At 50.8% G+C, this 25,179-nt stretch overlaps 1 protein-coding gene across 120 annotated transcripts in view, besides 2 other annotated features; it reads right to left on the bottom strand.

Moving 5' to 3' along the window:
- CELF4 (CUGBP Elav-like family member 4) overlaps positions 1–25,179 on the bottom strand; it is a 322,955-nt gene that overhangs the window by 278,348 nt on the left and 19,428 nt on the right. The window lies entirely within an intron of this gene.
- Positions 12,558–13,058: an enhancer, noted in NCBI's record as "H3K4me1 hESC enhancer chr18:35113712-35114212 (GRCh37/hg19 assembly coordinates)". NCBI's record gives its function as "activates a minimal SCP1, AML or CMV promoter by ChIP-STARR-seq in naive H9 embryonic stem cells {active_cell/tissue: H9 hESC(naive)}" and the evidence as "EXISTENCE:reporter gene assay evidence [ECO:0000049][PMID:30033119]".
- Positions 19,315–19,609: an enhancer, noted in NCBI's record as "tiled region #9247; HepG2 Activating non-DNase unmatched - State 22:ReprW, and K562 Activating non-DNase unmatched - State 19:H4K20". NCBI's record gives its function as "activates a minimal TATA promoter and a strong SV40 promoter by Sharpr-MPRA in HepG2 and K562 cells {active_cell/tissue: HepG2 | K562}" and the evidence as "EXISTENCE:reporter gene assay evidence [ECO:0000049][PMID:27701403]".

Consider the following 25,179-nt stretch of genomic DNA (forward strand, 5'->3'; position numbering starts at 1 on the left):
ACAGCAAAGTGGAAGAGTTGGCACTGCTGATCTCTGAGGTCCGTGCCAAGTCTAAGATCGGCAGATTCCCTTCTCTGATGTTTCAGGCACGAACACAAATTAGCACGTATGGAGAACTGTGGCAAGTAATAATGGTCCCCCAGCCCTCCACCCCAAGTCCCCACACTCTCTATTCTCTCCTCATGCCCCCTGCAATAGATCATACAGGATGGATTACATTAATTTTCTATAAACTATATCAACTTGAGTGACATGTCCTTAAGGGTTGGCTGATTGATATCTACAATGCGGTCTTATAATCTAAAATCATATTAATATTAATATTAAAGATTTTCTGTCCTCTACGTGCACCATTAAATCTGGAGTATAAGGTGAAATTGACAACATACATTTTGACAGCTTATCTATAATAAATATGCAAATCTTGATGCCCACATGTCATCACAGATGCACCACGGCCCTCTGAAGATCAGAGCGTGCCTGTCTCCCGCGTGACATTTTCAGCAGAGGATCAGAGCAACCGTCTGGGCTGCAGGAGCAGCACTAGGCGAGCCTTTTGCAGCGGTGACCCTGGCCTCTCCCGTCTGCCTGTGAAAGCCTGTCCTTCATCCTGCCATGCAGGCAGGAAGGCTTGAGGAGTGACAGTCACAGAGAGCAGGGGACACCATCTCATGCAACTTCTGAGTAGGCACAGAAAAATCCAGCTTCCGTCTTTATTTCTCTTAAGTCTCAAAGGAACTTTTGCTGTCTGCTCCACCTCCACCGTGCCGGGTTATAGCGGGTTACCGTCACTCAGCACCCGGTGAGTTTAAGAGTGGAGAATGCCTGCTAACCTCTGCTCATAACCTTCCATAGCCTCAGTTTCTGCATCTGTCTAAGAGGAGAGGAGAAATGGTGCCTTTCTTCTGGTGGACATGCGAAGGTTGAATGAGATAACAGAAGCCAGATGCCCAGCACACACAGTAATGCCTCAGTAAAGGACAGCTCTTAAATTATTTTCTAAATGAGTCCCACCTCCTCCTGACTGGTGCAACACGCAATGCTCCTTCCTGTCCCTCTCTCCCTATCTTATCATACAGAATCTAAGAGTTAGCATAGTGACCATGGTGAATTCTTCTCTGCCTCTGACCAGTGCCAGATGTGAGCTCCAGATGACAGGGACCATGCATCTCCCTGCGGCCCGGCCCCCAGCCCAGGACCCAGCTGGAGCTGAGATGGAAGAGGGACTGAAATTAGGACTAAGGAACTGTCTCTAAGGGGAAAATGTTGTCAACTCTCCATTGAGACCCTGCCAGGTCTGACTGGATAGCTCTGTGTGTGTGAGCGCGCACACACACACACACACGTGTGCATGTCAGATGGGGGCAATGAACTGAGCCTGTGAAATGCAATATCCTTGTCACATTAATAGACACGTTGAGAGGAGAGCTGAGGAAACAATGAGGGGAATTTTCCATGGGTGCAGGGTTGTTTGTTTGAGACGAGCTTCAGTGGTCCCATCACCCCTTCACACCTCCTAACAGGGCAGCAGAGCCCGCTGGAGGCCCTGGGCCACAGCTCTTCTCCCTGGCTTCCTTCTCTCTTCTCTGAGCCCACCCTGTGGGGCAGCACCAAATCTCCCAGGCTTCCGCATCTGTTTGGCCTGCCTCAAGAGAGTTGGGCATTGCATTGTCTCCTTCCCTACCCATCCACCCTCTCCCATGAAACCATCCCTCATTAGTCCCCTGACTCGGAGTGCTTCTGTCTCTGAACTCTGCAGCATTTCCAGTGTGGAGAGCCACGGGGCCATATTCTTTGTCATGCCTCCTTGCATTGTTCTGTGATCATTTCGCAGTGGAGACGTTCGTTGCCCACAACCAGATTCACAAGGGGGGCGGGTAGGCATGGCTATGCTCCCCCTTTCTGTTTCCCTGAGGGGCTTACCACCTGGCTGGGCACCCGGCTGGGCACACATTCACGTGGGCTTGGTTGGGACCCTCCAATAGTCTATATCTGATGAGGAACAGACAGCGGGACCACATGGATCCAGAAGTCTTCAGAGGCTCGTTTGTTGGGCATTTCTTGCAAAGTGACAGTTGACATGGATCCATTCTCATGCTCCCCCAGGTCTCTCTTGGGGCCAGGAGGCCCCAGATGTTCTTTTGGGATATCAGGAAATTCCTTCACATCTCTTACCACCCCTCCAGGGGTAGACATGCCCAAGGAAGAAGTTCCATCTTTCAGCACCTGGTACCTGCCATGTGTCCCTAACCCTGGGACCCTGAGCCACATGCCTGTAATCCTGACCAAGGGTAAGGAGTTTGGTGACCCCGGCTGGGGAGACAGGCTTGCTGGGGGAGTATCACTGCTGGGAGAACAGGCGGCAAAACTCGGGCCCATGCTTGCCTCTGGGAAATTCAGGCCCATCATAGGATGCCCATCAGCAAATCCTGCAGCTCAGGCTGCGAGTGGAATGGGTCTTGGGGAGGGCTTGAGACCTCATGGCCTGCTAAGAGGAGCCCCACTTACGGAGATTTCTAGGCTTCCCAGCCCTTTATCTCACAAATTCTCATGCCACCAGTCCCTTCTGGTCCTTCCTTTCCGTGAAACTTGAGTCTCTACACTGTCTTTAATAAACAGCTGCTGATCTATCAGTTTACAGTTAATCAGTCAACAGAGGTGAAGGTGGGAGGAGGGTGGTGGAGAAATGAGCGTGTGGCTTCTTGCAACTCAGGCTCACTGAGCCCCCAAAACGCCTGCCCTTTGCATGTCACTACCACTCATTTGTCCATGCTTTCTGCCTCCCAGCAGATGGTTCTGTGTATGAGCCTCATGGGGTGCCTGGGTGCCGTGGATATCCCAGAGAGACACTGTGCTCCGCACCCATGGAGCCTCCAAGGAGGTTAGATGAGATAATATTTGACTGTCACCAGGCACAGTGCCTGGCATACAGCGAGACCTCCATAAATGTTAGTTCTTCTCCCCGCCTTGAATGAGTCATATCTGGTTGGAGAGAAAAGGCCACTTAAATAAAATAGGACCAGATATCCACCTCGGGGAGGGAAGGCAGGGAAGCCAGTCAGGCTGTAAAGAGGCCTGTGATGTTGGTGCTGGCGGGTGGGTGGTAGGATGAGGGTGACAAGGTGGAAGAAGGAAAATGGCCGATTTCAGATGGCTTCGAATGCCAACCCGAGGAATAAGGAGTCCAGGGTCTTTTAAAATCCCTGTCTCTGTTTGCCTCCTCCTCTCTCCCACAATTAACTCCAGGCTGTCTTGATGGCCCCGCGGTGACGAATGTTCTCCCCTGTTCCCACCTCCCCGCTTTTTTTATTTGTGTTGACTTGACGCGCCCTAATCCCTGACTCAGCTCCCACTTCTTGTTAAACCAAAGGTAAATTTTCGGCCGGCGGGGCAGCCCCGGAGCGGGAAGATCCACACCGCGGAGCAGCCGTAGGAAATATTGATATTAGCCGACCTCTGGCGCCGTCCGCCCGCGGTGAAAATAAGACGCGGGGCCAATCAATTACCGAGCCATTAAGGGCGGGAACGCGGAGGGAGCGGCCCACAGCCCCTGCTCCCCAGCCGAACATCCCCCGAGCCGCAGGCCGCTGGGGTGCGCAGCTGCGCTCTACGCCCTCCGCGCCCCGGCCGCGGCTCCCGGCAGCGACCGCAGCGCCCAGCAGGAGAATGGGGCGCAGCCGGGCTGGGCTGGGGCGCGGGGGTCGCGGCGGCTGCGCCCCAGTCCCGAGCTCGGTTTCCCGCTTCGCTCTTTGAGCCCCGCTTCCTCTCCCTGAAGCGTCTCGCCCTCGGCCCTCCCTTTCTTCTCTCTCCGCCTGCCCTCCTCCCTTCTCCTTTGTTAACCACCTCTCTTTCCTAGGGGCCTCTTGCTTGGCCAGCCGACCACCCTTCTGGTATCCCTTTTTGTGCCTCCCCCTTTCTTCCCTTCCTCTTAAGCTGGCCACAGGGTGGCTCCGGTTCCCTATCCCCTGGACGCCCTCTGAGGATGGCACTGCGCTGGCCCGGCTGGAGGGACGGTGGCCTGTCGCTCTCTTCAGAGGCCCTGCCCTTTCACACCTGTCTTCACCAGCAGGAACCAACAAGAGGCCCTTCTTATTTGGGGTTAATGACTTCTGGGAATCCTTTCCATCTTTAATGTGTTGCCTTCTAACTCCAGACAATAGCCCCGTGTTAGAAGAGGCATGGCCACGCCTAGACTGGGAGCCAGCGGTGCTCCTGGCGCCCTTCGGGGTGGCCTTCTGGGTTGTGGGGAGGGGAGTGGAAGCTGCCCGGCATGTCTGCATAGGTTTGGGTTCTGTGTCTGTGGCTAGGTTTGCGCTGTAGGGTGTAGGGCAAGCAGGTTGTGAACTTGAGCAAATATTTTCACATTTCTCGGGGACAATCTTCTGCTTTCTAGAGCTGACCTTTCTTAGGGGAGGGAGGGGTGGGGAGGGGCGGGAAGGAAAAGACTGTTAGGGTTCCTTGGTGACTGGCTGATGGGTCTACAGTATTTCCTCAAACTTCCATGACAAGAGAATGGGATTCATGAACATTTACATTGATCAGACATTATGCTGAAGGGAGGAAATGGTACTTTCTCCCTTTAAAGAAGGATCCTGCATTTTACAAAATCGAAAATAATTATTAAAAACCCCTTTCACAAGATCCCTTGTTCACAGTCTCATAGAGGAATGATTCTCAAAAGTGTGGCCGCGACCTGTAGGAGGACTCTGTGGGCATCACCTAGGCATCTATTAGAAATGCAAATTCTTAAACATTCCTTACCTCCCTTCGGAATCAGAAACTCTGGGGTGGGGTTCAGCCAACTGTGTTTAACGAGAACTTCAGGGCATTCTGAGGCACACTGAAGTTTGAGCACCACTGACCTCAATTATCCCTGCAGTTCAGGAAGGTAGGTGGGGTGGAAATTATTGTATCTTTTTACCTCTGGAGGAACAGCAGCAAAGAAATGTCACATGGCCAGATGGTAGCAGGGCCAAGGCTGGGACGATTTCCTGGTCTCAGTGTGAGGCATCCCATAAGGGTGTTAGAGGATGCATTTTCTTTCAACCCACAAGCAACCCTTAAAGGAGACAAAAATTGTGTTTGGAGAGGTGACCTGCATTTGCGTGGCTGTGAGTAAGCATGTCAATGCAAACTGCTATGAACTTATTTAGTACTTCTTTTGCTGCATCCCATAAGGTTTGGTATGTTGTGTTTTCATTTTCATTTGTCTCAAGGTATTTTCTGATTTCCCTAGTGACTTCCTCTTCTTCCCCTTCTTTCCTAGTGACTTCCTATTTCTGTCCTATAGGGGCCAGAAAGGTATTAGATTTTCAAGTTTCCCCTAGTGAGTACTACTCAGCGCTTGGGAGGTGGGTGACCTGGGGTAGAGCCACCTGTGTCAAAGTAGGATAATGCTATAAGAATGATGTTTTAATGGAACCGTTGAAGGCAGCTTGCTGCAGAGAAGCTCCTGTCATACCACAACCTGCCTCAGGATCATGTTAGGTTTAAAATGCAAACTCTGGACGTCCTTCTTGACAAAGGTATTCCAAAGGGCAGGAAGAAAGGGGTCCCTGCACTTTCTGGGAACTTCTGGGAACTTCTTGGGAGAAGCTTTGGTGTCAACTGGGCCTAGTTTGAATCCCAACTCTGCCCTTCGTGGGCTGTGGGACCTTGGGTAAGTCACGTAACCTGTCCATTATGAAAACTCGATTTGCAAGGTATGGTCACCACACCGATTCTCTGAGAGCTCTGAAACAAGCCACCCGACATGTCCGGGCCTCAGTTGCCTTATCTATAAAATGGGCAGTAGACCAGGAGCCTCTGCAGCTGTAACAAACCGTGGCTAATGCCATTTATTTACGTAAGCCCCAAATAACATAACATCAATTTAGCAGAACCCTCAACCTATGCAATGGTTTTCCCATTGCCCCCATCCCCTTTGCAAGAATATAAGCTAAATCGCCTGCAAATGAGCACAATGATCAAGAAGAAAACAGCAAGCCCTGTGCTTTGTAGAGCCCACCAGAAGCCAAAAATACCAGCCGCACTCCCTGATATCAACTTAGCCACCATAGAACTGACCTGAGAAGTGCTGGCCGTGAGTTTGGATCCAGCACTAGAGAAGGGTCACCAGCCCAGACGGACCCAAGCAGGAGAGGAGCTCGAGCCTCTAAAGTTATTCTTGGAATAAACTGAACCCCCAAACCCTTTGTGCCCTCTATTACTCAGAAAACTAAATTAATTAGAACCCTCCATTTTCCAAGAAGTTGGGGTAATCAAGGTTTACGTGTAGTAAACTCCCCACCCCCTCCAGAATAGTAAACTGAACTGATGTTTCCACAAAGAACTCTACTTAGTGAAGCTGCTGGGACAAGAGCTGATCCTCATTGAACCGGAACATCAAACCATGCTCTGAGACAAACCTGATGTTTCACTTGGTTTCAGTCAGTGGTGAGAAAACAAGCAGTCTGTGGGGTGATTTGGGGAGAGAATGCAGGCTGGCTTTCCAGGCTCTGGCTGCGGGGTGGGATAAAGATGTTTCCTCTTTTCATTTCCAGTCAACCCCCTCTGTGCATTTTCCTCCTTTTTCCACACATGCTTTACCTCCTCCAATGACAGCCCTGGCCACTGGGCCTTTGATCACTTTCCCCTGACCTTCTATAGGCCCACAGACTAAGCTGCACTGCATTTGATTTCAGGCTGTCCCAAGTTGCTCCTTACATTTTCTCTGGGTATGTTCTAGCTCTCCAACCAGATTTTAAGTTCTTTTAGGCTAGGAGAACTCATGGTTCCTAGCACAGTTTTAACACCTGCAGACACTTGGTAGATACTTAAAATCACAGACAGTAGAGCTAAAAAGGTTCCTGACCTTCAGTTTGCAGGTGAGGAAACTGAGGCCCTGAGAGCAAAGTGACTTGTTCAAGGCCTTACAGCTAGCTAATATCAGGGGAAAATTGGAAACTCACATCCTGGCAAATATTAAGCATTTTCTGATAATACATAATGTGAGTAAGGAGTTTGAGGAAACAGAAAATCCAACAAAGAAAATTTAATGGGAGCTTAAATTGGTGCAGTCTCTCTGGAGCCAAATATCAATCAAAATGTAGAATGCTTACATCTGTTGAAGTAATTTTCCTTACAAGAGTGTATTCTATAGGTAGAATTATACATGTATGCAGTGGATGCTCACGGAGATATTGACTGTGTGTGGTTTGTAATAAAAGAAGACACAAAACCAGGAGCAACCTAAATGTCTTATCGGTGGGGGGTCTGGCTATGGCAATTAGTGAATTTCTCGACAATGCAATACTATGCAGCTACTAAATGGAATGAAGTAGATTTATGTACATGCTGATTTGGAAAGATCCAAGATATGTTGCAAAGCCAGGAATCAAGGTGCATGGCAGTGCGGGGAGCACATTCCAGTTTCCACAACAGAAAGTGTGTGTGGGTGTGTTTGTGTGTGTCTGTACGTGAGATATTTCTAGAAGAATACACAGGAAACTGCACCTTCTGGAGACTGGGATGGGGTCTCGAGTGGGAGGGAGAATCACACTTCACTGTATACCCCTTTGCACGTGTTACTGACTGCATGTATTATTTTTGTAGTAACAATACTAATAATTGAAAAACCTCAACACCACAGTCTCCTAGTTCAGCAGCATTTTCCTCCACTGTACCAGGTGGAGGTACCAGCAGTATCCTTTTTTGCTGTTATTCTTCTGTAAATTGGTAACTTGGAGGCTAATTGTCATAATTTCAAGTAGGTAATAGACAGCAAACAAACCATCTACTCTTAGCTCATTCCTTTATTATTATTTTTTTACCCCAAATTGCTACTTTCCCAGAGGATGGAGGCTCTAGGGTAGGATGACCCAGGTGGAGGTGGGTACTAAAGGATTAAGAACCAGGGTCTCAAATTGGGGATTTACTGGGCAAGTCGCTCAGGTGCTCTGTGCCTCGGTGTCCTCATCTGTAAAATGAGGATGATGATAGTACCAGCCTCCTTGCATCTGTGGGAGAAATAGATGAGATCATACATGTATCTGGTCCTCAGGAAGTGCTTGGATGGGTAACCTGGACTTCTTCCTCTGATCCAATGGGCCTCTGCTCAGGGCCTGAGAGGTGAGAGGTGAGCCTGGTGAGCAGCACACAAAGGCACACTATCTGTCCAGTGCTCTGACCCAGACTGCATGGGTCGAGGTGCTTACGACACTGTCTCTGACCTCAAGGAGCTCAGGTCTGGCGCGACGTAGCATACCACACCCACTGCATGAGGGAGCTCACGGAGGAGCAGGCAAACCAGGGCACATCCAATAGCTCAGCACCAGCTCCCAAATGGAGGAAACTGGTGGGTGGAACAGAGGCTGGGGGACTGGCAGTAGGAAAGGAAGCTCCAATAGGGGAGAGAGTCTGCTGCCTGGCCTTCCTACAGCCAAGGGGAGCTGACAGTTTTGGATTTGCTTTGCAAGCAACTGGCAGACTTCTAGACAAGCCAGGGAGGAATTTTTTGAGGGAAAGTGTGATGTGGTGCTGGTAGGGGGGCAGGAACCTGAGTTCTATTCCCAGGGGGTATCAGCAACCAGCTACCACTCAACAGCCACTGGAGCTTGGACTGGAATGTGACTTTCCTTGGCCTCCGTATATCTCCCTGAAAAATGTACGTGCCTGGACTTCACCCACAGACATTCTGATTCTATGCAGAGCAATACCCAGAAGGGCTGAGACCTGCAAGTTTGGTCCTGAGGGGCTACTGTGAATGGTCCTTGGATTGTTTTGCACACAAAACCACCTCCACTCACAGAATGGACAATGGCCACTGCACAGAACCAGACACTTTGGTTACATCAGCGTTGGAGCACTGCTGAACTTTTGTATTGTCCCTAGAGACTGCACTACCCACGCCATCCTGCAGAGATGACAGCCAGTCAGACTCTCTTCCGGCCACAGTCCAGCCTTCCTGCACTTCGGGTGAAAGTATAATAAAAAGTATTTATTCATAATAAGACTGACATGTACACAGGTTCTTCATACAGGTGATTTCATTTAATTCTCACCACAACTCTATCAGGCTTTTGCAATGATTGTGTCCATTTTACGGGGGAGGAAACTGAGGCAGAGAGAGGCTAAGGAACTTGTGTAAGGTCTCTGGTGGGTCATCTGGCTTCAGCAGTCAGAGTAGGCTGCTCCACATTGTATAGGACCATGCCATCACCCCGTGCTTTTCTTGACTGTGGGTGACTCCAAGCAAGAGCCAAAGTCTCTGTGGCCCTAGGGGAGAAGCAAATCCACCAGCTGCTGCCTGCCCAGCAAGACACTTTAAGAATGGGGGTGGGTTATAATCATCATTGTATTTCCCCACTCCCCCTACCCCCTGCCACCCCAGCTTCCATCTCCCAAATCAGGAGGTGTGCACAAAGCTGGGACTGGATAGCTCCCCTCAGTCCGATGGGGTAGGGGTCACATTTGCTTTCTGGGGTGGCCACTTTTTGTTTCACTTTCTCTTCCTTTCCTTTGTTCCCCTTCCTCCTCCTGGTGGTGACCTGGTCACCTTCCTAGGAGATAACGCCCGTGCGGCTCTGTCCTGACAAGCCCTTTCGGCCCTATCTCTAATCTTCTCTGGGTTTAGGATTAATAGACTTTTTCCTCGTTTGGGATCAATAAGTACAGAGAGAGAGAGAGAGAAAGACGGAGAGAGAAAGGAAGGAAAAAGTCAGCAGGATTAGAAAAAAAAAAAAAGGACTGATAAGAATCTGGTCCAGGTCGTGGAACCCTGATGCTGCCAGTAGTATCTTTAAGCTAGGGAGTAGCACAGGTGAGGGAGGGGTGGGGTAAGCAGGTGTCTTATCTGCTGAGGCAGGAGCTGGGGTGGGGGTCACCCGTGGAAGAGCAAGATGGGGTGAGGTCACAGGCTTGTCGGTGGCTCTGGGGATCCTCAGCCTCAGGCCAGGACAAGGTTCAGCTTGAATCGTTGCCCAGAGCAGCCCTCTGAGGCCAGGGCTGCCTGTCCTGACAACCTCCACAGGTACTGGGAGACCCTTCTATCCCAGGTTCCAGCCTCAGCTGGGGCCCCCCTCCAGCTACTCCTCACTGAGCAGGAAACTGGTCCTCATACTGCTTCTTTGCAGCCCCCCAAGGTCCCTTGAGGGTGTGGACAGTTTAGCTGAGCTTGCCGCCCTGGAGTCCCAGAGTCCCAGCTCTTTCTCGATGCTTCACATAGCCTAATGGAAATTGCACATGTCCCCTTGATGAGGCTGCACGGGGAAAACAAAAATAGCACCTCGCTGCTTTTAGCAAGAATTATATCCACTCCGTGTGGCTAACACTGGTTGCCGCATGCCGATCTGCAGCTCTGATTAGCCTTTGATTAATAAAAAATGGGGAAGGAAATCAATTATTTATTTAATAACAGCAGTTTGTTTTAACGGCAAAACCTTTAAGAAAGTAAAGGACTTGAGAGTGGGGTGGGGTGGGTGGAACCAATAGTGTCTTTGGAGGTGAGAAGTTTGGGAATGGAGGATTTCCATCATGGAAGTGGCACCGTCCTGTGCTAGGATAGAGGGGCCGTTCCATCATGGTTTTCAGGATGTAGGATGCAGCTGAGCATGAGGGGACCAGACCTCTAGCACCCTGAGATCCGGGTGCAGTTAGGGTCCTTGGGTGCAGGGCAGTGAGAGGGCAGGGCACTGGTCTGCTTTGGTCACTGTGGCCCTTCCCTGCCCCTCCAACAGGATCTACCTGTTAACTCTGGTCTCAATCTCTGGTCTGTTAATGCTGAGAAATCTTCTCAAGGAAGGGCATGAGTGTGTGTCCCTGTCCATCGCCTATGGCGCACATTACTTGGCCTTGGGTCCAGACACTTGATGATTCATGCTAGCTCCCCTTCCACCATGTCCACTGGGGGTCCTCCACTGGCCTACCTGGTCCTGCACTGTTTCCCTAGCACCTCTCTGCTGTTACTCAAATTGCTTTCTCCTTGCAGAGGGCACTTCTGCTGATCTTTGCATTTCACAATCATATCCATTCATCAAGGCCAAGATCGAAGGACACCCCGTGCAGCAGCTCCCCAAGTCAGCCCCTCAGGAGACAGCCTTTCTTCTTCTGAACATCCCGGCACTTTGAATGCGTGTTCCTGTGGCAGTTTGGGGAAATACGGCTTTGTACTTTATTTCTTTGTAGGCATTTGGAGGGCAGGGACTGCATCTCAGTCACCTTTGTAACCCTCACCCAGGGTTTGTGGAATAACAGATGGAGGGATGGATGCTATCTTTTGGGGAGGCTGTACCCCATTAACATCTGAAACAGCATTCAGATGAAAGACCAGACATTTAAGAGAAATGATGATAGCCTCTTTGAGGGAAACAGGAAATATATGCTTTCAGGCACCTGAGAGAAACAGATTAGAACACTTGGGTGAGGGATTTGACTTTTTATGTTCTGGAAGACAAAGTAGAAAATTAAAAAAAAAAAAGGTCAGGTGACATGGTGTTAATTTTCTGACAAAAATAAACCTAGCATGTTGTCTATAGAAGTAACAGCCCCGTATTCAACATATATGGAAACTCAGTTTTCTCATCTGCCAAGTGGGATAATAATTCCTGCACTTATAAGGCAGTTGCAAATTTTACACAAAAGAAAAGAGAAGAGAGAACCTCTCCAAGGAGAAAGTGCTCTTTACATGAGGCATGGATTATCTATTTAGGTAACTGTCAGTGACCTAAAGTTCTTGTCTAAGTGGCTGCCCTGGAAAGAGGGGTGCTGGACAATTATTCAGGCACCAAAGTCTTTCTTCCCATCTCCATTATCTGGATATCTCTCATGGAAGCTAAATTTCCCAGAATTATCTGGGTTGTTGCCATTACTGTCTTCTGAGCTTACTGGCGTGGGCGGCCACTTCCAGAACGCAGCCTTCCAGCAAGCTGGCCCAGCCACTCCAGATACCATGCCCTTGAGTTTCAGCCAGGCACGTGGCTGCGGGTACACGGCTGCTTACGCACGAATGTCTCCTTCCATTGCTGGAGAGCTTTGAGTTTTCCTGTCTTGGTTCACAGACATTATCCCACGAGCTTGTCCTCATTTCCCTGAGTGTGAGTAGGGAACCCCAGAGAGGAGACTGGATTTGCTGAGCCACACAGAACCTATTAGACTCTCTTTTGCCTCCACTACGGCAGGTGAGAAATTTGGGAATCCGGAGTTTCTAACATGGAGTCAATGTCTTGGCCCCTCAACCTCCCCAGCAATTGGCCCATACAGCAGGGGGGTGATTTGAGTGGGGGCCCTTCTGATTCAGAGAATAAATCACCTGGTAATTCAGGGGCTGGCTTAAGAACATGGCCATGTGGAGCCCCCAAGCTCATAAAGCAGATGAATTAAAGGGCAACTATTCACATGGCAGAAGGATTCTTTTATTTCTAAAAGGATCCCTTATAAGGCTCTTCTGGTGAGCAAACACAGCACATTTCAAATAAGATTCATTGTAAAATGACAAAAAAGAAGATAATAACAATTTGCATTCACTATTTCGGGAGCAGCTACTGTGAGAATGGAGGCCCACCTGTATATCATCAGAGCTCCTGCATGTCCCTCTCCTGGAGAAAGTGGGGAGCTGCAGAGATGGGGAGAAATTCGGGGGATGGGGAGAAAGGCATTGCCGTGACCAAATCTGTCCTTCTCTGACTTGGAAGGAAACCTTGTCATCTCCACGTCAGGGGAAAGCAGTGGGGTGGTCCTGGAGTCGGGGGCTTGGTTCGGCGGATTATTGGATCCTGGCTCCTTGTGGTGTATGGTGGAGTTATTCCAGAGCCTTGAAGCGCAAATGCTGTGAAGACAGATCTGCTGACCCAGCCAGGACTGTGGACCTGGCCGCTGGGCCCCGATGGATTCCCCGTCTCTCATTCCTTACTGACAGGCTCCTGGGTATTGGCAATATTTGCCTTATGGCATCAGAGCGGCGTTTCCCGTATTCACATAGTTAAATTAGTTAGCTGGATAGAAACCTCAGAGATGATGTATCTAGTTGTCAGTTGTGACTTGGTGCTAATGGCACTACAATTTGGTTACAGTCCTCGCCGTCATTAATCATCGGCCCCTAGCTGGCTGCATACTGGGTGCTGGGGAGGGGGAAGGGCAGGGCTGGCTTGGGCAGAAGGTGTCCAGCACCCAGGCTGGGGCTCTCCCTCTTCCTCTGGGTGGGGCATGGGCTCTGTCACTGGGCAGGCCGCTGTCCCTCGGTCCCCACCGGCACCACTGCACTAGCCCTGCACACCTCTATTTATTAGCATCATGCTACTTATGCTAATAGCAGACCGTACACTATTTCTGAGCATTAACATCTGCTCCAAGCAGCCGACTTTCACTTACAGAAACTGATTTCAGCTCAGTCAAGCAGATAAACAGAGAAATCAAAGCAGGTGGCTAAAAGTGAAGGAGGAATTCTCAATTCCTGCATTCAACCGACGAACTTCACTAAAGCCATAATTAATATTCAGATAACTATATTCCGACACATAGAATAAACAAGATCATTTAAAGGATGCAAAATACATCCCCAGGGCCAGAGGGGAAGAGAGGGAGGGGAAGAGAAGGGAGGGAAGGCAGAGGACTGGGTATGAATGCAGACACTTCCTGCTCTGGCCTATTGTCTGGTCGGTTTCAGCCTTAGAGAAGAGGTGACATGCCTCACAGAGCCGGGTGTTTACAGAACCCCTTCTGAAAGCGAGCAGGGGCTGGGGCTGCACAGCACTGTTCCAGGTCGTGGAACCCTGATGCTGCCAGTAGAAGCAAGAGAAACTGAGGTGCCATGTCCCAAAGGCTTGCGATGTCTACATGGCAGGCTGACGGAAAGCTGTCCTCTGTACTCATTTCCTCACCCTTGAAGCTGTCTGAAGGCATGGCTAGTCCTAGGCACCTGGCTGCCGTGTGGCCTCGGATGGGAGGTGGGCCTCCCTGCACCCAGGTCTTCTCCAACAATAGAACACCATGCTGGAAATCCTCCCTGACTATGGAGGATTAGCTAATTGGTGATTCTGGAATTAAAAATAATGCCTCTGTATGATTTGGACCAGGTGGAATCTGACTCTTTAGATTAAAATCTACATGACAGTACATACCTTATTGGCGTTATTTATTGTCTTTTTGTTGTTTTTCCTAGTCAGTCTTTTCAAAATGTTAAAATAAGACTGAATTCATTGTACGGAACAAATTCTGAAGACAATTGCTCCTGTTTCAAAGAGCAGTGGCCCAGGGATCCGAAGTTGCAGACTTTCCGAGCAGCTCCCAGTCCCCACACAACTCTGAGATCTATATGGCAAAATTCAGGAGCCACCTTTATCATATTAGTCTACAGTGATCATGAGAGTAGCAGGAAGAGTTCACGTAACCCATCACTTGACATGGTACACGCTCCCCTGTGTGCACATGTGGGCCGTTAGGTAATACACGTGTATTACTTAAGAGCGTTTATATGTACTGTGAGCTCCGAAGGGATAGTAAGCAGCCACGTTCTGAACACGGGATTCAAGCCAGCCCTGAGCACCCCTGGGGAAAGGGGCGGCCACCAGGAGGCCAGGCCACAGAGGAGCATGCTCAGGTGAGCCCTGCCATCACAGTGTGGAGATCCCTACTTGGATCCACACTGGCCACGCAGCGAGAGAGAACACGATTCACTTCCTGGTAAAAAGGACCTTGCTAACCTTTCCTGGTCTCTTTTTGGGTTCCTCTAGTCTCGAGGGCCTTGTGGCTGAACAACAAATGTTATTGAAAACTTTAATTCCTGTTTTTGGGGAACATCCATCTCCCTCCCCACGCCCCTGCACATATGTCCTGTTTATGTCTCTTCCTCTGAGGATGGTGCTGACAGTGCTGGGAGCCCAAGTTGCATCCTGGGTGTCATCAATGCTCCTCTGGAACCACTTGCATTGTGGTTGAAATTTCCCCTGACGCCTGGACATTTTTTTGTTGTTGTTGGTTTCCCTGGAAATGACGCTCTCTGAATCACAGCTGTTTGGAGCAATGAGGGGAGGTGGGAGGATACTCCCTGGAGGGGTGATGGGAGGGGTGGGGTGGCAAACAGGCTTTTCCAGGGAAAGCTGAGAACTGCACAGGCCAGAATGGTTGTGGGGTAAGGCTTGTGGTCTTCAGAGTCCCAAGGGACAGGTGTTAGGGCGAATGGTGCATTGGAACCTGAAGGACTGGAAACTCTTTCTTCTCTAGAGTCTGACTCTCTTCTTTGTACTTTCCTGTCTCCCCCACTCCCTCCTAAAAGGGAACTTCCTGAGCAACAGCCATCTTCTCAGCCCTCGGCAAGGGGTCCCCAGCTACAGGTCTATGCAGGGCACCTGTGTGCTGCTCGCTAGCGCCTTTTCTCCACGTTTTTGCCTAATCTGAGCATCACAACATCTGTGTGGGATGGGTGAGGCAGAGATTGCTATTTGCATTTTACAGATGCAGATAGGGAGTGGGGGAGGTGGTGGCCCACCTGAGATGGCACTGTGAGACAGGAGGAGCCCTGGCCCCAGTCCCCAGGCAGCAAGTCCCCGCACATCTTGCACTTGCTCCCTCCCACACTCCGCCATCACCATCACCCCCATCTCCCAAAGCCACAGGCTCGTGTGCAGGCGGCCCAGGCTTTCACACGCTCACATAAAGCTCCCAGGCCTGGAGGGAGGCTTGGAGGACACCTCCCAGTGATGTGAGCTGTGCTCTGCGAAGGGAGAGAGGAGATGCCCCACCTTGCCAGGGGGTGCTGGCTGACTCACTTCACAAGATTCCTACACATAAAGCCAAGGACAGATGTGATCTGATGTAGCACATTCCCTGGGACTGTCCCACAGCACGACTGGCGGGTGTCATAGGTCACCCATCCTCAGCCTGGCTTTCCCGACCCTTCTGGCCACTCAGCCCTTACCTGGGCTTTCTTCTGTGCCCTCGCCTCTTTGTCCCTGGCATTTGCCTCCTCCTCTTGTATTTGTCTTCTCCCCTTACATTTTCTGCTGTGCACTCAGTTATCACCACCTTGATCATGACTTTCATTTGAATCTCCAAACTGTCACTGCCCAAACCAAACATAGGCTGGTTCTCAGAGCAGGAAGAAGAAAAATCGAATTTGGACCCAATTCCTTTGGAGTTTGGGAAATCGCACCCAGGCTGGACTGAAGGGGCCCTGTGTACACGCTGAGAGCCTGGCATTCTCGGAGGAGAATGGTGCTCTCTATCCAAGAGAAAGAGTTCCCAGCAAGTCCTTGGGGGTGTCTTTCTGCAAAAGGGCAACCTGAGTGCTAACTTCAAATGGCCTTTATGATTAAGGCAGGGAGGCCAGTTCCCGGTCGGGTCTCTGTAAAAGGACATGGTTCCTCTGTCATGCCTCTGCAAAAGGACATGAAAATTACAGGTCTTCGGGGACCATTTCAGGCTGCTGTCTCCACCCCAACTCCACATGTGAGCCTGACAGGGGCTGTTTATTTTATTTCCTTGCTTCGCTGTAGGGGTTCAGGGATGAGCCCCGGAGGTGGTGACAGATGGAGACACCCCTCCCTTTGCTTTCTCTGAAAGTAAACTAAAGAAAATACACTCATTTTATGTCCGCCAGACACAAGCTCCTCCTGGGAGAAAACTTTTTTATTCAACCTGAGGTGCCCACCTGATCTGGGAGGGTCTTGGGATTTCTCTCGTCCAACCAGGCCTGCCTCCTTGGAGCCCTACCCTCCACATGGAAGCCGCGGACGTGACTCCCCGACCTGGTGTCCCATCATGGGCTCACCCCACGGGGCTGTGTGATTGGGGCACAGACATTTGTGCCCTGTGCCCCGGAGAGTCCCAGGCGCTGAATCCAGCTCTGGAGGCGGCCGGCTCCTTGGTCCGGGTTGTGCAGTAGTCCTGGTGCCCTCTGCTGGCCACGTCTGAAAACACAGGCGGCCTCTCGCCGCATCGGGCGGACCTTCCGGGAGGCCAGAGGGATGGCGGGGTGGGAGGGCGGCCTCCTCATCCCAGGGGATGGCCCTGGTCTCTCCTGTGTGCACCTCTGAGGCCCTGCTCTCTGTACTGTGTGCCTAGGGATGCATTCCTTTTTCCTTGTCTCTCCATGGAAGAAAGACCTCACACCTGGCTCGATTCTTCACTGGCTGTGTAGCCCTGGGCAAGCTGTCCAACCTCTCTGGACCTTGTTTTGCTCTCTGAAAGGTATCACCCATCTTCAAAGTCCATTACAAATGCCAGTTCCTGTGTGTAATCCTCTCCCGAGCCGTCTTACCTTTGGCTGCTGAGGCCTGGAGCCTCTCTCTCTGGCTCTCGACTCCTTCAGGGCAGAGGCTCCTTCCTCCCTTTTTGCTTTTCTGAATCCCCCAAGCACCCACAACGCTGTCTTTACCCAGAGCAGGCACTCACTCAGCAAATACCTGTTGAATTGATTTGTGTTAAAATGGCTGCCTGGGACTAGTGATTCCCTCAGGTGCCTCCTCTGCTCTGATTCTTTTTCATTCCAATTGTCGCTTGTGGGTTGGTCTCATTCCCAGGTGAGACTTTAGATCCTAGAGGGCAGTGTGAGGGAATAGCTGGCCTGGTGCTTTAGCGAATATAGAAAGCAATTCTGACATTGTGGAGCAGTTACTTACGGGGTTCTCTCTCCCTCACTCAGCAGCACATTTCCCAGAGCCCGACTGGAAGATCCAGGCTGTAAACAACATGCTAAGGCGGGACTCCTGCTCCGTTCCTCCCGTCACCTCCCGTGTGCCTCCCCTCCTGGCACCTCCTCACCCCAGCACCCCTCTCTGCGGAGTCTCCTTCCCTGGCCGGTGGGGACCCCTGCTGCTCCCAGCAGCTCCCTCCCTGCCCCACCCTGCTGCTCTCAGGAAGCAGTGGCAGGCTTGAGAATGAAGCAATCCTCGGTCTCATCAGGGTTCTCAACGCCCTCCCCGACATGACAGACTCTTCTCCAAGGCTGCTCCTGCGCAGCAAACACACTGCCTCTTGGAAACGACAGTAACAGCTAATGTTTATTAATAGCTCACAGTGTGCTGGGAGCCTCTCCGAGAGCTTTGCACATATTATCTCATGTAATGCTTCTAATAACCCTCAACAATGGCTCTGTTATTATCTTTATTTTATAAAGAGAAAGCTGAAGCACAGAGAAGTTAAGCCACTTGCCTAAGGTCACCCAGTTAGAGAGTGGGAGAGCCCACATTCCAAGCCAGACAGTTTGATTCCAGAGCTCTTGTTCCTGACATTCCTTCAGGCAACAGGATGCCTGGGGTGGTGGACAAGGGCTGGGCACCTCTAAGACACACACACACACACACACACAAACACACACACACACACACACGCGTGCACGTGCACACACAGACACACAGCCTAAACACATGCACAGCTGTGTCCCTTGTGCTGTGCGTGTGTGAACATTCCAGTGACAGTCACACATGCCCATGTGTGTGTCTTCACTCATGCACTCTTGTTAGTCAGTGCACACGCAATGCTCTCCGCACTGTTTGATAGAACTTTCTGGCATGCAGAAAATGTGCTATGTAGACAGCACAGACTGCCTACCACTGTAGCCCCTCTTTACTTGTGGCTGTTGAACCCTGGGCATGTGGCTAGTAAAACTGAAAAACGGATTTTTAAATTACATTGGAATAAAGTTAATTTAAATGTAAATGTAAATAGCCACACACCGCTGTTAGCTACCAAATTGGTCATGCTGTCATGGGCTTGCTGTGAGGATGGAGAGAGGTGATGATCAGGTCTCATGTGCAGCGCAGGCCTGGCACATTAGAGAGCTGGACAATAGACATAGCTTTATTAATAACTACCCAATTATAACAGTGCATATGCATTGATGTGTGCGTAGCTCTCCCTGTCTCCACCTAGCCTTGCAGCCAGACACCCCATTATTCTTTACCAGGGCAGTTGAATACCACCCTCCTGACTGTGGGCTCAGACCCCAGAGTATCTCTCAAGGTGACAAGGAAGGAGGGCTTGGCTCTGGAGTGCCTGTGAGAGAAGTTTGGGGTGGGGACCCAAGTGCCTGTCTCACTTGCTGGTACCCAGGAGGATGTGGAGAGGTTGCCTGTGGCCCTAGGGTCCTCCCGTCCACTGGCTCCCTGGCCCCAGCCCAGAGCCTCCCAGGTACCTGGGTGAATGATTACATCTCTCATTTGTAAGTAAAACAGCAGCGTCTCTCTTTGTGTGTTGCTTTTATTGTTTTTTTACTTTAAAACAGGGAAAACGGGCCAGCGGTCTGCCTCAGGCATTTGGTCATGGCTCTGGGGGCCAAAGAGAAGTTCCCAAGGAGCTCTTCCCTTCTAGGGGTTCAGAGAAACGAGCCAGCACGGTCAGGCTGGTGGGGGTGGCTGGGTCGGGATATGTGGGCCACAAGGACACAGATCGTGGGGCAAGCTGGGTGGGAAGGCTCCAGACGCAGCAGTGGGGCAGGGAGGAGGGAGCTCTGCGACCTACATCACCACTGTGAATCTGGCTGACTCACCCCTGGACAGCAGTTCCCGCTCTCCCTGCTGCGTGGAATGCAACCTTGGCATCCTGGGAAAGATGCTCCAAGAAAGGGCAGCAGCAGTGGCCCTGGCAAGGGCTGGAGGGAATGAAGCTACAGCATGAGGGATTTAGGTGGGAGCATGGGAGGGACAGAGCTGGGCTAAGTTCTGTGAGATGGTGCAGGACAATTTGAGGCAGGAGGAACAGTTTCCTTTATCTCATTCATTAATGACAAAGTGAGGGCTGGCAGTGTCAGTGTGGGTGAGCACCTGCCTGGAGGTGGAGTGGGGGCATGGGGAAGGAGGACTCCCAGCATCCTCTGTTCTAGGCTTCACGCATGCATGACCTCATAGTGTGCATCACACAGTCTGTGACCTAATTGATGCTCAGTCCACACTGAGGAGGAACAATAATCACATCTAGGAAGTCTTGTTTAATTTGTTCTATTATAAATGACTTTAAATACCATGACATATTGATGCCTCTCAAATTTATACCTCCAGCCCAGATCACCACTCTGAGCTCCAGGATCATATTCCACCTGCCTTCCTAATGCCTCTCCTTGGACATCTAACAGGCCTCCCGCTCTCAGCAAGGCCAAATCAGAATTTTGATCATCCATCCCTAAAACATGTTCCTTCCCAGTAAACGGCCCCACTCAGCACTGAGTGCCTCTATTCGTCCTGGGCGCCTCTCTTTCTCCCCACATCACACCCAATCCACCAACAAGTCCTGGGACCCCTATCTCCCAAACACATCCTGACCCCGTCTGTTTCTCGCACCTTCACTGCCCTTCTTAATCCATGCCCCACCATTGCTCCTCTGGCTGCCCCCCTCCGTGTCTGCTCTCCTATAGCAGCTGGCTCCACACAGCAGCCGAAAGATCTCTGTGAAACATACATCGGAACATGGCTCTTCCAACACTTCTTGCTAACCTTAGAAAACAATTCAGACACCCCTGCCAGGCCTGATACAACCTGCCCCCACCAGCCCCTCCCACCTAATTCTCCCCATTACCCCAGGACACGCCTGTCACACTGCTCTTCCTCCTGTCTCTTGAACACACAAAGCCCATTCCTGCCTCCGGGCCTTTGCACCTGCTGTTCTCTCTGCTGGAAGTGCTTTCTCCCGCCATGTCTGCTTGTTGTTTGGATCTTGGCTTCACTGTCAGTTCCTCAGAGGAGCCCTCCCCACTGACACGTATACAGCGGCCCCAGTCATGCCTCATCCATATGTTTTAATTCTCAGCACAACACTTATGATCAGGTTTTTAATTTTAATTTTTAATGTATCATCTGACTTCCTCATGAAAATGTGAGCTCCAGGAGATCCAGAGGTTTCTGTGCCATGGTCATCGTTGTGACTCCAGCAGTGGCACAGAGTGGGTGATCAGTAACTGTTTGTGAATGAGTGAATTATTCAATCCTGATGGTGTTTGTGGGAGAAGGCCTTCTGCCTAGGGTAGAAGTGGGAGCTCATAAATGTGTTTCCTGGACTGGCTCTTGTGTACGAATTGCAAGACTAATTAAACTCATACATATTTGTGGAAATGCAAATATAATTTTATTTACCAATGACTGTAATAAAGGTAAATGCTCCTTACTTAAACAAACAATTCACTTTGGGAATAGAGCTGTAAACAGAAGCAATAAATAAACACTCGTTATTGAGTGCTCGCTGTGCACCCACTGAACTTCACGAGCTGGCTGCTCTGATCTTCCATGGTGGCATCTACACTTAGGAAGGCTGAAGCCCAGTCATGAAGACCTCTACTCCCTGGATGTGGGTACTTAACCACAATAGGCACAGGCGCTCTTCCCCAAGCGTACGACTCATGGGAGCATGGCTGGGCATCTTGGCTGTGCCACTTACTTGCTCCGTGCCCTGGGAAGTTAGGGCAGTTAAACTCTGTGCCTCTGTTTCTTTGTCTGTAAAACAGAAATTGAAATGTTCTCCTAGGAAAACTGGGAACATTAAATGAGATAGCACATTAGAGCACTTGGCATCATGCTGGGGATACGGTAAATGATAAATACATGTTAACAATTCCTCTCTTATTATTATGATTATGATTATTATCATTATATGAGACTATTCTAGATGTTTCTACATTTTCTCACTTAATTGCCATAATAACTCATGAAGCCAGTGTTGTTATTCTTGACTTACAGGTTAGGAGACGCTCCAAGCTCCAGGAATGAAATGCCTTGCCCCTGACCATTGCCTGGCTCTCAGACATGAAAACCCAAGTCTCTGGGCTCTAGATCCAGTGCTCTTTCTACGACATCACTCCTGCCTCCCTTGAACTTGGTTAGAGCCCAATACTGATGAGGACTCCCCATCACACCCACCTCCATTTTAACTCTTCAATCTCTGCATGGACTCAGCACCTCTGACTGTGGTCTCTGAGCAACCCCTCAAATCTTCCCATGCCTTCCCATCCCCAGCCTCCAAGAGCTCCCCAAGGGTTGCACCACCCTGGAATCTGAACTCTAAATCCAGCATGAACTTTACATCATAGGGTTAGAGGCTGTGAAACAGGAAGCGTTCTTCGAGGTGACCCATTTCATTCCCATCCCGAGAGGAAGAAATGGAGCTCCACAGGTGCCCAGTGACTTACTCAAAGGAGTTCCTGGACTAGAATGAAAGGCTTCCTCCCTCCTCCAAACCCAGGCCGTACCCTGACCTACCTCCCCCAAGCTGGGCATCTTCCCGGCCATCTCCCCAAGCAGGTGAGGGACACAGGGCCTCTCAAGTCAGGTTGTTGGTGGTGGGTGGCAGGGGCTGAATTTACTTTTGCTTGGGCATGGCTTTTTTTGTGTGTTACCTCCCCATGAGTGTGTGAGCCTCCTGGGCAGGGGCTGTGGCTCTGCCTCCTGCTCCTCACATGATGTGCAGCCCAGCACTGGGCACAGTGTGGGTGAGCAAGAACGCAGCCTAGGTTGCATGAGGCACCTGGCTGGAACCAGCAGCCGGACCTAAGCACAATGACCAAAACCTTCACAGTCATTATCTCTGGGGAGTGGGAATATGGGTGTCCTCTTCTTGCTACATTGTCATCTTGTTTATTTTTTCTGTGACAAATACTATTGGCAATGAAAATATTTACAATACACTTAGTATTGAAAAAACAACTGGTCTTTTCTGGGGACCAATTGATGGCCCCTCCATTCCCTCTAGATGAATGAGAGAGGCCGCTACGTGGTCTGTGCCGCTGGGCAGGGAGGCTGAAGCTCCAGGGAGGCTGAAGCTTGGGGGACTCTGAGAGACTGATGGGGCTGCAGCAGTTAGAGGCTTCCTGGAGGAGGCTCGGTGCGGTCTGTCCAGAGAAGCAGGCCTTGGCTTGGGGGAAGCAGGAGTGAAGAGGGTACCCCAGGTGGGGGAATAGCCTGAGCAGAGGTGCAGAGATGCAACTTACCTCCCAGGAAGGGAGGGCTGAGGTAAGGGCAAGGGCGGCAAGGCCAGGGATGTCCTAGGTTGTGAACTCTTTTACTTCCTTTTTTTTTTTTTTTTTCATTTGTTCAACAGCTACAATTATCTCAGGCTCACTATGTTTCAGGCTCTGTCAGATGCTCCACCGAAATCACTGCGTTCCACGTTCACAAGCAGCTCATCTAGGCAGGGTGTAAATTCCCGTTTGCTAGACAGGGAGATTGAGGCCGACCAGTAGGTAAAGGGATTTGTCCAACTCACACAGCTTGTCAGCGGAGCTGCGGGGCTGGACCTCAGTGCTATGCATTGCATGGCCCTTGTGCTGCTTTCAAAGCCTCCACTCCCCACTGAATGGACTCTGGGAGGGGCTGGGAAGCTGTGTGAGGTGCTGAGCAGGGGAATGACTTCACAGCTGGGCACAGAATAGCTTCACCATTGAAAACAAAGAACTTGCACGTAATATGTCACCAGAGGAGTTGGCTGGCCTGTATGTGGGTACGTGTGTGTGCTTGTACGTATGTATGTGTGTAAGTGTATCTGTGCATGTGTAGCTACGTGAGGATGAGAATTTAAGAGTGTGAGATTGGGATCCACTTCCTGCAAGTGGGGAAGACATGTCTGTTATGACAGTTATAACAACAGCCTAAGGAATCGGTTTTATGGCATAAGCAGATGGTTCCAAAAATGTAGGCTGTCATTCCCCCGAGGAAGAAAGCTGAGCCCCAGGGGCCATGAGGCAAGCCACAGAAAGTTAGGGGATACTCAGGAGGGTGTCTGGTTGAGGCCTGAGGAAGCCGCAGCATTGTTGACAACTTGGACAGGGAGCTGATCCTGGGGCTCCAGGGACAGGCAACGTGACATGCATGGAGACCCCTAAAGCTGCTTTCCAACTTGCAGATTCCTTTGCCTCATCCTCAGGGAATTCAAAAGTGTGGGGTTGAGGTCAGGAGCTTCGTTTCCCACCAGAATCCCAGGAGATTCTGATACATGTGTTCTGGGAGAGGCTGGGAAGGGTCAGGGTCTGGCCTCAGCTGCAGGAAGACCGGGCATAATAAGGGCACCAGTGCCCAACAGCAGCTTGCTGCAGATGCATTGGGCAAAGCACACAGCCTGGGTGTGAGGAGCGGGTAGTGTCCTCAGGGGCAAGAGTGGTGGGGCCTCCAGATGAGCGAATGGGTAACCACCAGATCTGTGCCTGAGATCCCAGGACTCCTGGGCAGGTAGGACTGGCCTTCCTCCTGCTGCCTAGTAGCAAAATGACTCACGCTGGAGCCAGAGGTGGGCTGGGGCCAGGCTTGGGGATGGCCTGGCTTTTGTGCCTGCACCCCAAGTAGCTGAATTCAGCCTCCAGGGGGCCCAGAGATGAGGCAAAGAGAATAAAAACATCTGTAGCTGGACACATGGGCTAGGCTCAGGAGATCGGTGTTTCTGGACAGAAGGACAGGCCCAGGAGAGCAGAGATGCATTTAGCCAGACAGCATCTCCCTGGGCCCCACTCTGGCCCTTTCCTCAGGACACGTTGCTTCCAAGTGCTGCCTCTGGCCTCGCTGGTCGAGTCTGAGCACCATCTGCTCAAGCCTGGATGGAGGCAGTGGGGCAGGGGCCTCTCTTTTCCTGTGGCTGCCCCGTCTCTCTCTCTCACTCTCATATGCGTGTGTGTGGGCATACACACACACACACACACACACGGCCCTGCACTTGTGGCTGTCTCCAAGAAGAGACCTCAGGGCTACCTTCTGGGGAGCTGACCCCCTCTTCTTCCGGTCTCCCAGGGAATCTGTGGGCAGAATGTGAGAAGATGCCACAGATGGCCCAGCCATGCATCCAAGAAAGTGGCGAGGTCTCTGGAGGACACTGTCTGACTTAGCGTCCCACCCAACTAGGTTGCCCACAACCACACGTGTGTGGAGCCCTTTCTCCCCACATACTTTTCCCACACTCCTCCCCTACAACTGGCCAGAGGCCCCTCAAAAAGACACCCACGCTCACACACATTTGCAGAGAACTGCAGGCGTGCCCACCCAGGGAGTTGGACTCATCTCTTCTGTTTTTTACATGCACTTGGTAGAAACTGTAGTCATAGACGTACACACAATCTGTCACTAAAAATTGGCCCACCCGAGCCCGTCGCAGCCCACACACACTTGCATACACTCAGCATGTATGAGCATACACGTCCGCACATCTCCTCATCTCCTCGCCCAGGTCTCACAGGCCGGGATTGGAGTGTACTCACTTGGAAGTGGTGTGTGGGCAGGTGCACACATGCTCACTACATACTTG

Source organism: Homo sapiens, chromosome 18 (assembly GCF_000001405.40).
Source record: "Homo sapiens chromosome 18, GRCh38.p14 Primary Assembly".
NCBI lineage: Eukaryota > Metazoa > Chordata > Mammalia > Primates > Hominidae > Homo > Homo sapiens.